The following is an 18,645-nucleotide window of genomic DNA, read 5'->3' as shown; positions in this document are numbered from 1 at the left end:
ATATCTTTCAGGCCTAAAGATGATAACAGTACCTAAATGTTGTGAAACCCAGAGCACTTTGCTGTCCCCTGGGGTTATCCTACATTCTGTCCATACCTTTTAGATGCTCCTTTTATTAAATAGCTCCTTAAATTACCTAGCTTGAATATATTTCATTTCGTCCCGACCAAAACAATGAGAATAATGATAGCACTTAACTCAGGCTTGTTACAAGTGTTAAGTAAGTTAAAACGTGATTAATGTTTAAACCATGTCTAAGAAAAGAGATAAAAATGAAAGCAATAGGAAAGAAAATGATAGTGATAGGAGACAAAGATGATCCAATACTAGGATAATTGCTATTTGTTTAGTGGTTAGAAGTTCCCCCAAATCAAATATTTCTATTGAAATTGTCTTTAAATAAACAATTCAGAGATAAAAAAGAGAAAAACTTTTGTTTTAACTGTAAAATAAGTTTATTGGTGGTAACCTTATATAATTTTATTCCTGATAATTGATGTTACAAACTTTGGGGTCTTTGAGGTATGCAGTATCCTTGTATGTAACTTGCATAAACCCCATTATTTGAGCTCTCTTAATTGCTTTTGTGATTTCTTTCCGTGTCTTCCCACAAAGACCTGTTACGTGCCTTCCATAAATGCATCCAGTAAATGGAGAAATAAAATGAGACAAAAGCGGTACATTCTTATAATTTACATGCTTTCCACATGATATCTATGTTAAGCGTGTCTATATAAGAGACCACCTGAGCAGGCTTAGTGTCAGCAACAAGGCTGTTTATTCACTTGGGTGCAAGTGGGCTGAGTCCGAGAAAGGAGTCAGTGAAGGGTGGTGGGATTATCACTGGTTCTTATAGGTTTGGGATAGGCGGTGGAGTTAGGAGCAATTTTTTTTTGTGGGCAGGGGATGGATGTTACAAAGTACATTCTTAAGGGTGGGGAGGATGTTACAAAGTACATTCACAAGGGCAGGGAGGAGGTATTGTCACAAGGAGGGGGTGGGGATGTTACAAAGTACATTTACAAGGGCAGGGAGGGTGTATTGTCACAAGGCAGGGAGGAATGTTATAAAGTACATTCACAAGGATGGGGAATATCACAAAGTACATTATCACAAGGACAGGGGAATGTCACGATGGCTTGATCATGGTGTGGCCAGCTCAGAGGACCTTACATTCCTGTCTTTTTATGTTAATAATGAAGAACTAAAACGAGAAAGAGTAGTGAAAACTTGAGGCGAAAATTTTGGGGGTGGTCTGGAGGGGTGATGGGCAACGTTTCTCAGGGCTGCTTCGAGCGGGATTAGGGGTGGTGCGGGAACCTAAAGTGGGAGAGATTAGACTGAAGTAAGATTTTGGGGTAAGGGGTGATATTGTCAGGTTGTTAAAAGCAGCATTTGCCATATAGAGTGATTAGTGATAGCCTGGATGCGGTTTCGTAGGAATTGAGAGATTAACCGGAAGACACGAGGCCCGAATAAGAGAAGGAGGAAGATAGGTATTAGAGGACTAACAATTGGAAGAAGCAGGATACCCAGTTTTTAGAGAGTGGCCAGGTGGGTCCAGGATAATTAGTTGCCTGATTAGCACGTTTTTGAGCTCTGTCTTTGAGTTTTTTGATGTTATCATATACCAGGCCAGATTGATTTAAGTAAAAACAACACTCTTCATTAAGAAATATACAGAGTCCTCCTTTTTCAGCAGTGAGTAAATCGAGGCCTTGGTGGTTCTGGAGGACAGCTGCAGCTAAAGAGTCAACCTGGGCTTGGAGGACAGATAAAGTTTGTGATATATCTGTAATGCTAGCAGAGAAGTCATTAGAGAGGCTGCAGAATGTTGCGGCAGCGGTTGAGATGCCTGCTATTCCAGTTTCAAGTGCAATAGTGGAGGCAGAAAGTCCTAGACCCACAAGTAAAGGGATTAGTGGGATGACTCTTTTTTGTTGTGTTGGTGTCATGAGGGGGACAGGCAGTTGATCGTTCCCATCTGCAAACTGGATTTTGGGGGTAAGGAAGACTAGAGTACATGTGCCTGTCCAGTTGGCAGGTAGGCACATGTAGGTGGAAGAGCCACATAAAAAGAAGAGACCTTGTGTCAGGCAGAACTGGAAATGTAAAGTGAAAAGGTGAGAGGGTGTACTGAAAGAGGAGACCTGTGCCCAGAATCCCAGCAAGGGCAGCAGCCATTAGAGGTTGTAATGGGAATTGATGGTGCAACTGCATGGAGGCAGAGGTTCGGTTCTCATGGTGTATGAGAAAGCACATAGTGTCTACGAGTAACCTTTCACTGTTATTCATGGGGCTGGGTATAAGCAAGCAAGAGGAGGGGCTAGGAGGAGAGTCAGATGAGCAGGGGGAGGGTAGCCAAGGCTGGAGTGAGATGCAGGGTAGGTGTCTTCCTAAACAATAGTGACTGCCAATGTTTTTTAGTTTGTCAGTAATGATAGAGGCTTATCAGTAATGTGAAGTTGGAATGCTCCCATCTGTTTGGTAATGTGTGTGGCTGGGTTCTGGAGATAAAGAGTAAAGGAACATTTGGACGGTGGAAGGTTGTCTAAAGGGATTCCAGTAGGCTGTTGTCAGGAGATGCATAAAGGAATGGCAATAGGGATAGTTGTTTGTGTGGTTAGGGGTCCAAATATGGGGGCAAGGGTGGAATTGACATAAGGAGAAAGGTGCCATAAGTAGATGTTGAGAAGTGTGGCAGCTCGTTGGTGCGAAATGTCTGGGGAGTTCTCACCTAATCTGTCTAGAAAGTAAAGAAGTTCCTCAGATGGGTAAAGATGAGGGCTATTAAAGGAAGGTTGGAGGTGCAGGGAGACAGGAGAGGTAGCCCAGTTGGCCTGTAGAGCGGGGATGGCTGTATAAGAGCAGGAAGAAAGGGAAATGCATAGCCAACAATTCTTTGCTAGAGAAGGATTGGAGGCAGTGAGGAGAGAGTGGGTGAGATTGATAGTATGCTGGAGGTAACTAGGGAGAGGTAGAGAGTGACTGGAGAATGGGGGCAAGGATAAGAGTGAGTAGAAAAGTAAAAAAAGGACTTCATCAGGATAGAATTGGAGTGTACCTTGCCACTGAAGATCTTCTATCCACTCCAAGAGAGAGTTAAGGGTGGTGGTTTGAGGTAAAACCAGGAGATATCAGTTATGATGGTTTGGAGGAAAAGTGTAAACTGGCAGTGTAAACAAGGGCAGGGCATTTGCGAGTAGTTGAGAATGGTGAATAGGAGTATGATTAGACAGAAGATAGTAGGAATGACAAGTTTTTGGGGTGCAGTCCAAGTAGTGGGGGTGATTGCGTAAAGCCCTGTTGTAAAAAGCAGGGTAAGGACCAATAGACCTAATAGAATGAAGGGATGTATTAGGCTCATAAGGGTTATTACTGTTCTTCAGAAATGTGAGTTTAAGGGAAGTAGGGGAGAGTACTTGTGACTTCCAAGAGGAAGAGGAGAGATCAGGCTGGCTGTCCGAGGGACACAGCTTTATTCTGGAATGGTGAACCCAATGGGGAGGGTCCTGCAGGTGGATGGCAATTGGGGTACTATAGATGACTAAGTAGGGTCCGGTCCGTCAAGGTTGTAGAGTTTGAGGGGTCAGATTTGTAACAAGAACTGATCATCCAGCTAGGGTGTCTTCATATAGCTGGGAGTCTGGAGTAGGCAAGAGAAGATTAGCAGCCTGGTGAATTTCCTGTCTAGCCTGCTGGAGGACTGGAAGACAGTCACCTAGAGGGCTGGTGTCTGTCACGAGGTTGGGGCTGAACAAGAAGGTACGTCCATATATTGAATAAGGTGAGAAACAGATGGACGGAAAGAAAGTAAATTATGAAAAAGAGCTTGACTAAAGTAATGGGGGCTGTCTCTGAAGCCTTGCAGCAGTACAGTCCAGGTGGGTTGCTGAGATTGGTGGGTGTCAGGGTCAGCCCATGTGAAAGCAAAAAGAGGTTGGGATGAGGGGTGCAAAGGAATAGTGAAGAAAGCATCTTTGAGGTCAATAATGGAGTAATGAGTTGTGGAGGGAGGTATTGAGGATAGGAGAGTTTATTGGTTTGGCACCACAGGATGGATAGGTAAGACAATTAAGTTAATAAGGCGAAGATCCTGAACCAACCTGTAAGACTCGTCCGGTTTCTGGATGGGTAGGATAGGGGAGTTGTAAGGAGAATCTGTAGGCTTTAAGAGGCCATGTGGTAACAGGCGGGTGATAACAGGCTTTAACCCTTTTAAAGCCTGCTGTGGGATGGGATATTGGCATTGAGTGGGGTAAGGGTGATTAGGTTTTAATGGGATGGTAAAGGGTGCCTGATCGGTCACCAAGGAGGGAGTAGAGGTATCCCATATTTGTGGATTAAGGTAGGGAGACATGAGAGGAGGATGTGAAGGAGGCTTTGAACTGGGGAAAAGGGTGGCAATAAGGTGTGGCTATAGCCCAGGAATAGTCAGGGAAGCAGATAATTTAGTTAAAATGTCTCGACCTAATAAGGGAGCTGGGCAGGTGGGGATAACTAAAAAGGAGTGCATAAAATAATGTCCAAGTTGGCACCAGAGTTGGGAAGTTTTAAGAGGTTTAGAAGCCTGGCCATCAATACCAACAACAGTTATGGAGGCAAGGGAAACAGGCCCTTGAAAAGAAGGTAATGTGGAGTGGATAGCCTCCATATTGATGAAGAAGGGGACGGATTTACCCTCCACTGTACGAGTTACCCAAAGTGTCTGTGATGGTCCAGGAGGCTTCCAAGGTAATCGGCAGTGTCAGTCTTCAGCCGCTGAGCTGAGAAGATCTGGGAAGGAGTCAGTCAGAGAGCCTGGGGCCAGAGTTCCAGGGGCTCTGGGAGTGGCTGCCAGGCGAGTTGGACAGTCTCATTTCCAGTGGGGTCCCGCACAGATGGGACACGGCTTAGGAGGAATCCTGGGCTGCGGGCATTCCTTGGCCCAGTGGCCAGATTTCTGGCACTTGAAGCAAGATCCTGGGGGAGGAGGTCCTGGAGGAACGCCTGGCTGGTGTGGTTTAGGCATTTTGAAGTTCTTGTATGCTGGAGATATGGCTGGGGTTTCTCTCACAGTGGAGGCAAGTAATTGCAACTCAGAAATACATTGCCACTTGGTTGCCTCTTCTCTATTATTGTACACCTTGAAGAGAAGATTAATTAAGTCCTGTTGTGGGGTTTGAGGGCCGGAATCTAATTTTTGGAGCTTTTTGTAACGTCGGGAGTGGACTGGGTAATAAAATGCATTTTGAGAATAAGACAGCCTTCTGGGCCCTGTGGGTCTAGGGTGGTAAAGCGTTTAAAGGTTGTTGCCAAACGGGCCATGAACTGGGCTGGGTTTTTATATTTGATGAAAAAGAGTCTAAACGCTAACTGATTTGGGAGAGGTCAGATGAAGAAAAAGGAGCATTAACCTGGATTATGCCTTCAGATCCAGCCACCTCTCTAAGAGGAAATTGTTGGGCAGGTGGGGGAGGGCTAGTCGTGGAACAAAAGTGTAAGCCAGACTGGGTGTGAGGAGGGGAGGTGATAGAAGGATTATAGGGTGGGGGAGCGGAGGCTGAGGAAGAATTGGGACCTGGCTCAGCCTGGGGAGGAGGGGAGAGGTCAGATGGGTCTGTAGAAAAGGAGGATTCAAAGGACTCAGAGCTTGGGGTGGAGACTGAAGGACCAGACAGGAGAGAAAGAAGAAAGATTTGGGACGAGTTGCATTGGGAGCAGAGACTAGGAAGTGACTGATGTGTAAAGAATGCCTGGATGTCAGGCACCTCAGACCATTTGCCCATTTTATGACAAAAATTATCTAGATCTTGTAGGATGGACAAATCAAAAGTGCCATTCTCTGGCCACTTGGAACTATTGTCGAGTTTGTATTGGGGCCAAGCGGTATTACAGAAGAAAATAAGACGTTTAGGTTTTAGGTCAGATGTTAGTCGAAGGGGTTTTAGGTTTTTAAGAACACAGGCTAAGGGGGAAGAGGGAGGAATGGATGGTAGAAGGTTGCCCATAGTGGAGAAGGTAAGTTTAAAGAGGAAGGTAGAGACACGGAGAAATGGAGGTGGGCAGATACCAGGCTTCCAGTATGCGTCCCTGACTGAGTCCTGGGCTGTAATGTGGGTGAGCAGCCAAAGCAGGTGTCCCTGCAATTGACCTGCCACCAAGGGAGTGTGGGTGAATGATGAAGGCAGGCGTCCCCGCTATGATCAAACACCAAGGGAAGACTGTCTTCCCAAATCTGTGACGGACATTGGAGTTTTTGAGTTCACAGATAAAATGTGTCTCCTTTGTCTCTACTAGAAAGGAAAAGAACTGGAATTGGAAGGATAGGGAGACTGAAGGGTAGCAAGAGAGGCTGGAGAAGAGAGTGAAGAGACCGCTTCCTGATTTGAAATTGGTGAGATGTTCCTTGGGCTGATCTGATGACACCTCCAAAGGAACACAATGATTCTCTAGTAACAGACTTGAAGAAAAGGAAATCAATGAAATGCCTGAAAAGAAATTCAAAATAATGATCTTAAGGTAACTCAGTGAGATACAAAAGAATACAGATAGACAATTTAACAAAATTAGGAGAGAAATTCACGATCTGAATGAGAAATTCAACAAATAAATAGATATCAAAAAAAGAAACCAAACAGAAAATTTGGAGCTGAAGAATTTAACAAATAAAAAATATGGTTGAGAGCTTCAACAATAGAGTAGATCAAGCAGAAGAAAGAATTTCTGAAACTCTTTTGAAAGAATTCAAAAAGACTTTTGAAATAACCCAGTCAGACCACCAAAAATAAAAAGTTAAAAAGAAAAATCTGGGCACATGGGCTCATGCCTGTAATTTTAGTTACTTGAGAGGCTGATGTGGGAGAATTGCTTGAGCCTAGGAATTTGAGACCAGCATGGGCAGCAAAGTCAGACCCCATCTCTGGGGGAAAAAGATTAGCCAGGTGTGGTTGCATGCATCTGCAGTCCCAGCTACTTGCGAGGCTAAGGTGGAAGGATCATTGTGCCCAGGAGTTTGAGGCTGCAGTAAACTATAATCATACACTGCACTCCAGCCTGGGTAGCAGAGACTCTGTCTTTAAAACAAAGAAAAGAATGAAGAAAGCAGCCTAAGGGACTTGTGAGGCATGATTAAGTGAACATATATTTACACTATGGATGTTTAAGGAGAAATGGGAAAAGATATAGAAAAACCCATTTAATGAAATAACAGCTGAAAACTCCCCAAATCTTAGGAGAGATATAGATGTTAAATCCAGGAAGCTCAAAGTTTCCCAAATAGATTCAACCCAAAAAGGTCCCCTTCAAGTCACATTATAGTAAAACTGTCAAAAAGACAAATAATTCTAAAAACAGCAAGACAAAAGTGTTATTGCACACAAGGAAATCCCCATTAGAGAAACAGCAGATTCCTTGGCAGAAAGCTTACAAGCCAGGAGAGAATAGGATGACATATTCAAAGTGGTGAAAGAACAAAACTGCCAGCAAAGAATACTATACCCACCAAAGTTATCCTTCAGAATGAAGGAGAAATAAAGACTTTCCCAGGTGTATTTGGCCGTTCTTGCATTGCTACAAAGAAGTACCTGAGATTGGGTAATTTATAAAAGGAGAGGTTTTATGGGCTAATGGTTCTACAGGCTGTACAGGAAGCATAGTGGCATCTTGCTTCTGGGGAGGCCTCAGGAAGCTTCCAATCATGGCAGAAAGCAAAGAAGGAGCAGGCACATTACAAGGAGAAAGCAGGAGCAAGAGAAGGTGGGGAAGTGCCATATACTTTTAAGGGGCCAGATCTCATGAGAACTTACTGCTGGCTGGGTGTGGTGGCTCATGCCTGTAATCCCAGCACTTTGGGAAGCTGAGGTGGGTGGATCACAAGGTCAGGAGATCGAGACCATCCTGGCTAACACGGTGAAACCCCATCTCTACTAAAAAAATACAAAAAAAAAAATTAGCTGGGTGTGGTGGCAGGCCCCTGTAGTCCCAGCTACTTGGGAGGCTGAGGCAGGAGAATGGCGTGAACCCAGGAGGCGGAGCTTGCAGTGAGCCAAGATCACGCCACTGCACTCCAGCCTGGGCGACTGAGCAAGACATCGTCTCAAAAAAAAAAAAAAAAAAAAAGAGAACTCACTACTGAGGACAACACCAAGGGGATAGTGATAAACTATTCATGATAAATTTGCCTTTATGATCCAGTCACCTTTCACCAGGCCCCACCTCTAACATGGGATTACAAGTCAACATGAGATTTGGGCAGGGACACACATTTAAACTACATCACCAGACAAGCAAAAGCTGAAGGAATTGATTATCACTAGACTAGCCTTATAAGAAATGCTTAAGAAAGTCCTACGTTTGGAGGAAAAGGATGATTACTGCCATCATGAAATCACGTGAAAGTATAAAACTCACAGGTAGAACAGTTATCCAAATGAGAAAGAGAAAGGAATCAAACCTCATCACTACAGAAAACCACCAAATCACAAAGATAAACAATAAGAGAGGAAGAAAGGAAGAAAAGAAATCTAAAACAACCAGAAAACAATTAACAAAATGTCAGGAGTTTTTTTCTTACTTATCAATAATCTTGAACGAAAAACAAAATCTTGAATGTAAACATTAAATCCCCAATTAGAAAGATATAGGCTGGCTGAATAGATAAAAAAATATCAAGACTCAACTATATACTGCTTACAAGAAACTCACTTCACCTACAAAGACACACATAGACTGAAAGTGAAGGGATGAAAAAAGATATTCCATGCAAGCAGAAACCAAAAATAAACAAGAGCAGCTATGCTTGTATCAGACTTAAACAGACTTCAAGTCAAAAGCTATAAAAAGATACAGAGAAGGTAATTATATAATAATAAAGGGATCAATTCAGTGAGAGGATATAACAATTCTAAATAAATATGTACTCAACACTGGAGCACTCAGATATATAAAGCAAATATCATTAGATTTAGGGGGAGAGATAGATATCAATACAATAATAGTTGAGGACTTAAATGCCCCACTGTCAGCATTGGGCAGATTATCTAGACAGATAATCAACAAAGAAACACCGGATTTAAACTGCACCATAGACCAAATGGACCTAACAGACATTTACAGAATATTTTATTTAATAGTTGCAGAATAACTCATTTTTCTCATCAGCACATGGAACATGCCATATGTTAGGCTACGAAGCAAATCTCAACAAATTTTTAAAAATTGAAATCATATCAAGTATCCATGTTGCCCACAATGGAATAAAATTAAAAATCCATCACTAGAGTAACTTTAGGAAGTGTACAAATACATGGAAATGAAATAACATGCTTCTGAATAACCAATGGGACAATAAAGAAATTAAGAAGAAAATTAAAAATTTTTTGAATCAAATGAAAATAGAAACACAAAATACCAAAACCTATGGGAGATATAAAAAACAGAGCACGGTGGCTCATGCCTGTAATCCCAGCACTTTGGGAGGCCAAGGCGGGTGGATCACGAGGTCAGGAGATAGAGACCATCCTGGCTAACACAATGAAACCCTGTCTCTACTAAAAATGCAAAAAATTAGCCAGGTGTGGTGGCGGGCGCCTGTAGTCCCAGCTACTTGGGAGGCTGAGGCAGGAGAATGGCGTGAACTGGGAGGCAGAGCTTGCAGTGAGCAGAGATCGCGCCACTGCACTCCAGCCTGGGCGACAGAGCAAGACTCCGTCTCACAAACAAACAAAACAAAACAAAAACAAAAACAAACAGGAATAAGTCGGAAGTTGATGGCAATAAACAGCTATGTCAAAAAACTAGAAATTTTTTAAATAAACAATCTAATTATGTAGCTTGGGAGACTAGAAAAGCAAGAAGAAGCCTAAGTCAAAATTAGTAGAAGGAAAGAAATTATAAAAATTAGAGCAGAAATAAACATAGTTGGGACTAGAAAAATGCAAAGGATCGATAAATCAAAAAGTTGGTTTTATGAAAAGATAAAAAAATTAGACAAACTTTTAATTAGACTGAGAAAAAATGAGAGAAGACCCTAATAAATAAAATCACAAATAAAAAAGGAGACATTACGACTGATATCACAGAAATACAAAGGATCATTAGAGACTATTGTGAACAACTATACATCAACAAATTGGAAAACCTAGAGGAAGTGAATAAATTCCTGGACACATACAACCTACCAAGGTTGAACCGTAAAGAAATAGAAAACCTGAATAAACCAACGATGAGCAAAAAATTGAATCAGTAATAAAGTCTTCCAACAAAGAAAAGCCCATGACCAGATGGCTTTACTACTGAATCCTACAAAATTTTTAAAGAACTAACACCAATTTCTCTCAAATTACTCAAAAAAATTGATGGGGTGGAAATTCTTCCTAACTCATGAGGCTGGCATTGCCCTAATACCAAAACCCGACAAGGACACAACAACAACAGCAAAAAACTGTAGGCCAATATCCCTGATGAACATAGCTACAAAAATCCTCAACAAAATACTAGCAAACCAAATTCAACAGTACATCGAACAGATTATACCCCATGATCAAGTGAGGTTTATCTCTGGGATTCAAGGATGGGGCAACATACATAAATCAATAAATGTGATATATCATATCAACAGAATGAAGGACAAAAACAATATAATCTCAATATCATTCTGCATCTCAATATCTTTCCGTTTTTGAGAAAATTTAACATCCCTTCAAGATAAAAAAAACTCAACAAATTAGGTATATAAGGAATATACCTCAAGACAATAAACTCCATGTATGACAAACCCGCAGTTAACATCATATTGAACAGGTAAAAGTTGAAAGCATTTCCTCTTAGAACTGGAGCAAGACAAGGATGCCCACTCTCATCACTCTTCTGCGGCATAGTATTGGAAGTTCTAGCCAGAACAATTAGGCAAGAGAAAGAAATAAAGAACATCCAAGTTGGAAAGGAGGAGATCAAATTGTCTGTTTGCAGATGACATGAATGTTTGTGTGTGTGTATATATACATATGCATATATATATACATATGCATATACATATACATATACATATACACGGTAGTAGTCATCTCTCTTTACAAACAAGATATATGACTGGTTGTACTGCTTGAAGTTTTTCCCACTAGCAGAATTTCCCTTAGCTATTGTTTTGAGGGACATTGTATTATACTATAGTACTACAGCAATGAAACTACATTTTACACTAAATGTAAGCATTTAGTGTAAAACCATCTATAAACCCACTCTTAGTTAAGTGGCTGTAAGGAATTTTCCATGAGGCCATGCATGTATATTGAGGGGAGGTAACGAAGCAGGAATAGATGTTCTGGAAATCTGCGGTCCCTGTTTAAGCAACCAGCTTGTGCCCTCAGTACCTTTTGAGACTGATATAATATACATTATTTCCACTTTGTGATGAACTAGCTGCTGTGTCTGTCTAACACACAATTTGTGACGGGTAGCTCAGTTCTCATGATCATTTGAGTTATGATGATCAGGCATTTAATCTTTGCCAGAGCTCAGTAGAACTCCAAGACATGTTTCTCCAAAGAAGACATGTTATCTGCAGAAGAAAGCAAGCCTTACTTCAAAACTTTAAGTGGAGACATTGTGATTCTTCTATTGCCACGTTCTAGTGGTTCTGAATAGCATTCTTTCTGTTGCAAAAGCTGACTCTTATTGAATCTGCTAGGTCATAAGGTCCAGGTGGCAGAACAGCTTTTAAATTTCATCCAGGACCTGCTGTAGAGCTTTCTTTTACTTGTGGATTCACACTGGCAGTATGCTCAAATATCTATTTGTTGGCTATCAGATCAAGAGAGATCCAAATCATGTGTGTCTCTGTTTTCTTCTCACGAAGTGCAGTGTTCAGCAACTTCTCCTTTATTTTAGAGGAGCTATCTCGACATGACCCAGACTACTGAGCGCCTAGAGATGTCACTGAGGTAACAGAGTATTATCTGCCATCCTGGATCACATATGCGTATCACTTTGACAAATCGGATACTTGCTATTTTCTGCTCATCAGTTCTACTCAGCATGTTGTGATCTGTGAGGTGGGTTGGCATGATGTTCTGTGGCATTTCAAGACAATCAGCGTCTCTGTGAATTCGATCAGAGGTTGATATTTTCTGTAAAGGACCATGTGCTGAATATTTTAGGCTTGTGAGCTGTGTAGCCTGTGTTACAACTATTCAACCCTGTAGTGTGAAAACAGCCATAGATAAATAATATGTGAGCAAATGAGTATGGCTGTGTTCTACCAACACTTCATTTATTATTTTATTATTTATTTATTTTTAAATATCTTTTATTACACTAGTCAGAGAAATTAGAATTTCATTTAATTCTTATTTATCTTTAGATAAATTCATCATTTAATTTTTGTCAACCGTTTAAAAATATGAAGACGATTCTTAGCTTACGGACTATACAAAAATGTATCAGGATGAATTTGGTCTGTGGGTTGCAATTTTCTTATACTTGGGTTAGATTATGGCAGAAAACAAGAAAATTGACATTGACACCTAAGGAAAGACCATGAAAGTATACTGCTGACTCTACCAGGTGAAGGCAAACTGTTCCTGTGATCCTTACACATTGTTATTACAGAAATAAACATATAACACTGCAGAATAGACGCCACAGGCTGTATTGATTCACTCCACTAAAGAAACCATATCTGAAACAGTAGCTGCAACTGAACTCACCACCTAATTTATTTTATGATAATCTATAGTCAGTCTCCATGATACCTCTGCCTTCTGACATGTCATATAAGCAAGTTAAATGGTAATGTAATAGGAATCACTACCTTAGAATCTCAAGTTTTTGATAGTAACACTAATCTCTGCTATTCCTCCAAAGAATTTTAAAGTATAATAAAATACAATTAGTTAGAAATAATTATGTAGAGTATAATGGTGATTTACATATATATGTTTTTATGCATATATATATAACTAACGTATATATTACACTATTAAAATGGTTTTTATTGGCCAGGAGTGGTGGCTCACACTTGTAATCCCAGCTCTTAGGGAGGCAGAGGCAGGAGGATAGCTTGAGCTCAAGAGTTCGAGACCTGCCTGGGCAATATAGTGAGATCCTGTTCTAAAAAAAAAAAAAGTTTTTATTTGGTCATGGAATTATGTTTAATATTTTTTACTTTTGTACTTTTAAATATTTCATTTCTTGCAATGAACATATATTCCTTTACAGTCATAAAAAAAATCTAGTTTGGGCGGGGCGCCATGGCTCACGCCTGTAATCCCAGCACTTTGGGAGGCGGGTGGATCACCTGAGGTCGGGAGTTCGAGACCAGCCTGACCAACATGGAGAAACCTCGACTCTGCTAAAAATACAAAATTAGCTGGGTGTGGTGGTGCATGCCTGTAATCCTAGCTACTCAGGAGGCTGAGGCAGGAGAATCACTTGAACCTGGGAGGCAGAGGTTACGGTGAGCCGAGATCACGCCATTGCACTCCTGCCTGGGCAACAAGAGCAAAACTTCGCCTCAAAAAAAAAAAAAATCTAGTTTGTTTTTTATGTGAATCACTTTTATTTTTAAACTTTTTGTAGAAGCCAGCTGTGGTGGCTCAAGCCTGTAATCCCAGCACTTTGGGAGGCCGAGGTCGGTGGGTCGCTTGATCTCAGGAGTTTGAGATCATCCTGGGCAACATGGTGAAACCCCATCTCTACAAAAAATCCAAAAATTAGCCAGAAATGGTGGCTCGTGCCTGTAATCCCAGCTACTTGGGGGGCTGAGGCGGCAGGATTGCTTGAGCCCAGGAGGCGGAGGTTGCAGTGAGTTGAGACTGTACCACTGCACTCCAGCCTGGGCAGGCAGAGTGGAAACCCTGTCTCAAAAAACAAAACAAAACCCAACTTTTTGTAGATATGAGGTCTATGTTGCCCAGACTTGTCTCAAACTCCTGGTCTCAAGTGATTCTCCTGCCTCAGCCTCCCAAAGTGCTGGGATTATAGAAGTGAGCCACTGTCTCTGGCCTGAATCACTGTTAAAGTCAGAAAACTAAATTTAACTAGATGAGGGTCTATAAATGTAATCCTGAGAATAGTTGTACCAAAACTAACCTCAGCAGATTTAAATGTTTGAATCAAAAGTCACTACACCAATTTCACAACAATTTCAAATAGCTCATTATTCTTATTTTATTCTTTAATTAAATATTTGAATTAACACACATTTGGTCTTTATCATTTTACATATATTTTCAAACAGAATCCTCAAAGCTTTAACTTTTAAGTGAAAGAAAATTAATTAATGGTACATGATTTTTATAAATGCTTCCCATACTAGTGTTAATAGTGTATGAAATACATAACATTAAACTAACTAGACAATTCAGTACTGTTGCGTTTAACCACTGTGTTATTAAGATAGAGGAAGGGCTGGGCGTGGTGGCTCACGCCTGTAATCCCAGCACTTTGGGAGGCCGAGGCGAGTGTATCATGAGGTCAGGAGATTGAGACTATCCTGGCTAACACGGTGAAACCCCGTCTCTACTAAAAATAAAAAAAAATTAGCCAGACGTGGTGGCGGGCACCTATAGTCCCAGCTAGTAGGGAGGCTGAGGCAGGAGAATGGCGTGAACCTGGGAGGCGGAGCTTGCAGTGAGCCGAGATCACGCCACTGCACTCCAGCTTGGGCGACAGAGCGACTCTGTCTCAAAAAAACAAAAAAACAAAAATATTTTGTGAAGACATACCAAGTATGGTGTCCAGACCCTACTTCAGTGAAGGAATTGTTTTCCCAACTACTGGGAGTGCTACGAGGGGAAAGCCTTCAGCTAGCAGTGTCTTCAGGGACTGCATCAGCTTCCTGTGTGACTAAGGTGGGGCACCCTTACCAGGACAGCCTACATCCAGTGATCAAGGTGGAGGTATAAAGGCCTGGCTGTTTTAGTCCACTGTGGGACAACTCTGCCAATTCAGCTTCCTTTTAAGAAAATTAAGCTAGGGTCAGGCGTGGTGGCTCACGCCTGTAATCCCAGCACTTTGGGAGGCCAAGGCGAGTGGATCACGAGGTCAGGAGATCGAGACCACACTAGCTAACACGTTTAAACCCCATCTCTACTAAAAATACAAAAAATTAGCTGGACATGGTGGCGGGCACCTGTAATCCCAGCTACTCGGGAGGCTGAGGCAGGAGAATGGCATGAACCTGGAAGGCGGAGCTTGCAGTGAGCTGAGATTGCGCCACTGCACTCCAGCCTGGGAGGCAGGGATACTGTCTCAAAAAAAAAAAAAAAAAAAAAGAAAATTCATCTGGGATTTTTTTTTCTTTTCTTTCTTGAGACAGAGTCTCGCTCTGTTGCCCAGGCTGAAGTGCAGCGGCGCAATCTTGGCTCACTTCAACCTTGGCCTCCTGGGTTCAAGCGATTCTGCTGCCTCAGCCTCCTGAGTAGCTGGGATTACAGGGGCCTGCCACTGTGCCCAGCTAATTTTTTTGTATTTTTAGTAGAGATGGGGTTTCACCATGTTGGCCAGGCTGGTCTTGAACTCCTGACCTCAAGTGATCTGCCCACCTCGGCCTTCCAAAGTGCTGGGATTACAGGCGTGAACCACCACGCCCTGCCCTTTTTTCTTTTTTCTTTTCTTTTATTTTTTTTGACGGAGTCTTGCTCTGTCACCCAGGCAGGAGTGCAGTAGTGCAATCTCGGCTGGCTGAAAGCTCCGCCTCCCGGGTTCATGCCATTCTCCTGCCTCAGCCTTCCGAGTAGCTGGGACTACAGACGCCCGCCACCACGCCCAGCTAACTTTTTGTATTTTTAGCAGAGACGGGGTTTCACCATGTTAGCCAGGATGGTCTTGATCTCCTGACCTTGTGATTGCCTGCCTTGGCCTCCCAAAGTGCTTGAGATTATAGCCTTCTGTTTTTTTTTGTTTTTTTTTTTTTTTTTTTTTTTGAGCCAAGATATGGCTGTGTTGCCCAGGCTGGAATGCAGTGGAATGAACCCGGCTCACTGCAACCTCCTGGGCTCAAGTGATCCTCCCACCTCAGCCTCCTGAGTAGCTAGGACTACAGGCACCTACCACCACTCCCAGCTATTTTTTTTTTTTTTGTATTTTTTGTAGAGATGGGGTTTTGCCATGTTGCCCACACTGGTCTTGAACTCCTTGTCTCAATCGATCTGCCTTCCTTGGTGTGAGTCACTGTACCAGGCTGGGATTCTTTTTTTTTTTTTATGGCAGCAAGATTTAGTAAAGCGAAAGGGAAAGTAAAGGGAACGCAAAAGTAAAGCTTCCATGTGGTGGAAGGGGACCCAGAAGGATTGTGTTTTTTGGCTTGGGTGTCTTATGCTTATATCCCCTTATGACTCCTCCCCTTTTCTTTTTCTGTCCTATAGGATTGGCTAATTTTCTATCCACTTGTGGGTTGGCAGACCTGATTGGTTAAAAACATCAGGCTGCAGCTAGAGCTTGAACTCCCTATATGATTGGTTGAAGTTTCAATCCCTTAGTTTGTAGCTGTGACTCATTTTGGCTTAGGGGAAAGTCCCCTTTGATTGGTTGAAGTTTCAATCCCTTTAGCTTGCAGCTATGACTAATTTTGGCTTAGGGGAAAATCCCCTTTGATTGGTTGAAGTTTTAATCTCTTAGCTTGCAGCTATGACTCATTTTGGCTTAGGGGAAAGTCACTTTAGGGAAGTCCCTATTGACCCAGGAAGTCCAGCCAATTTAGCCACTTAGTCCCTCAGTCCCCCCTTTCAACAGGAAAGCCCAAGTGCTGTTGGGAAGTTGGATGACGATTGTTCTAGCTACTTCCTGCTGAACTGGGGGGTAGAAGGGGCACTGCAGTTGAGGTTTCCTCAGGAGGGGAGTCTTTGGTGTCGTGGTGTGAGAACAGGTTGGTGGGTGGGTCTAGGGGTGCTTGATAGTAGGTGCTAGTGGTGGTCACTTGGGGCTCCATTTGTAGAACCATTTGCAGCTTCATGGATTCTATTCTGGAAGAGGCAAATTTTACAAGGAGGTTAAAAATGCAGGGTCCAAAGATAAGCAACATCACAATAGCCACCAAGGGCCCCAAGAAGGGGAGAAGCCAGGGCATCCATTGATTGACAATATTCCAAGGTCCTGTGTCTTGGAGCTCTTGTGCCCAGCACTGTATCCCATCTCAAAACTCCTTAACCTTCTTGGTGACAATTCTGGATTGATTAACGAAATAGCAGCACTCTTCTAGAAAAAGAGGTTCCACCTCTTTCAGCTGTTAATAAATCTAAGGCTGTCCGATTTTGAAGGGCTACTGTTGCTAAAGAATTAAGCTGGCTTTGTAAGGTGACCAGCGAATCTGCGATTCATGCCATGTCATCATTTAACTCTTGTGATAATTTGTAATAGAATTGGATGGAGGTTGTAATGCCTCCAATGCCGGTTCCTAGTCCTCCTCGTATCCCAGCTCCTATAATGAATGGTAGGACAGTCCAGGTCAGCTGAGACCCTGGGTTTGACGGATCTTTAAAGGCAAATAAAAATTGAGAGTCAGGATGCAGAGGGATGCAGAAGAAAGTGTCCTTAAGATCTAGGACTGTAAACCATTCTGCTTCCTCTGGTTTCTAGGAGAGTAGAGTATAAGGATTAGGTACAACTGGATACAGAGGAACAACTGCCTCATTGATAATTCTGAGGTCTTGCACTAACCTCCATTGTCCGTTGGGGTTTTGTATGCCTAGAATACGAGTGTTGCATGGACTGTTGCATGGTTTTACTAATCCCTGTGCTTTTAGGTCTTTGACGATCTTTTGTAATCCTTGTTGGGCTTCTGGTCTGAGGGGGTACTGCCTTTGATAAGGAAAGGAGGTAGGATCCTTTAATTTAACTTGAACTGGACAAGCATTTTTTGCTCATCTGTATTGTCCTTCCTCTGCCCAGACATCAGGATTAACTCCCTCCACGAGTAGAGGGCAGCAAACAGGTATTTCTTCTTCTATATTCAAGTTTATTATGGCCCCTCCTTTAGCTAATATGTCCCTCCCTAGTAAAGGAGTAGAGCTCTCAGGCATGATAAGAAAGGCATGTGAGAAAAATAAGGCTCCTCAGTCACAATTTAGAAGGTGGGAGAAATACCTAGTGACTGGCTGTCCTAGGACCCCTTTGATGGTGACAGACCTGGAGGATAGTTGTCCGGGACAGAAGACTAAAACTGAGAAGGCTGTGCCAGTGTCCAGGAGGAAGTTAGTTTCCTGGCCCTTAATGGTTAAGCTTACCTGGGGCTCTGTGAGGGTGATGGCACGGGCTGGCGCCTGCCATGGGTACCCTCAGTCCTGTTGTTGGACCATCAGGTTAGTGGCCTCTGGCCCAGAGGACCTTCACCCTCAGAGGTAGTGTGCCTTCCAGTGATCCCCCTGGCACAAGGGACATGGACAAGGGGGTGGCTTATTTTTGTTTGGGCAGTCCTTTTTGAAGTGCCCCTGTAAGCCGCACTGATAACAAGCCCTGTTAGGCTGGTTGCCTGCCCAGCCCTTCTTTCTTTCAGAGCCACCGAAGTTCGTCTGCCTGAGGGCCATAACTAAGGCGGGGCCATGAGTAAGGTGGCGGCCTTTTTCTTGTCTCCTCTGTCTCATTCAGCCTGCTCCTCCTGATCCCTATTATAAAACACTGAAGTTGCCAAATTCAATAGAGTTTCCAAATTTTTCTTGGGGCCTGGGG

General features: G+C 42.6%; 1 pseudogene, besides 3 other annotated features; it reads right to left on the bottom strand.

Annotated features, from left to right (window-relative positions):
• Window positions 481-544, bottom strand: MRPS18CP4 (MRPS18C pseudogene 4; annotated as a pseudogene).
• Window positions 16,438-16,737: an enhancer, noted in NCBI's record as "active region_6039". NCBI's record gives its function as "activates an Ori minimal core promoter by ATAC-STARR-seq in GM12878 lymphoblastoid cells {active_cell/tissue: GM12878}" and the evidence as "EXISTENCE:reporter gene assay evidence [ECO:0000049][PMID:35858748]".
• Window positions 16,438-17,778: a biological region, named in NCBI's record as "CDK7 strongly-dependent group 2 enhancer GRCh37_chr12:14372961-14374160".
• Window positions 16,579-17,778: an enhancer, noted in NCBI's record as "CDK7 strongly-dependent group 2 enhancer chr12:14372961-14374160 (GRCh37/hg19 assembly coordinates)". NCBI's record gives its function as "activates an origin of replication core promoter dependent on BRD2, BRD4, P300/CBP, MED14 and CDK7 cofactors, with strong dependence on CDK7, by STARR-seq in HCT116 cells {active_cell/tissue: HCT116}" and the evidence as "EXISTENCE:reporter gene assay evidence [ECO:0000049][PMID:35650434]".

This window comes from Homo sapiens, chromosome 12 (genome assembly GCF_000001405.40).
Source record: "Homo sapiens chromosome 12, GRCh38.p14 Primary Assembly".
NCBI classification, from domain to species: Eukaryota; Metazoa; Chordata; class Mammalia; order Primates; family Hominidae; genus Homo; species Homo sapiens.
This window is presented reverse-complemented; position numbering and strand designations above follow the sequence as displayed.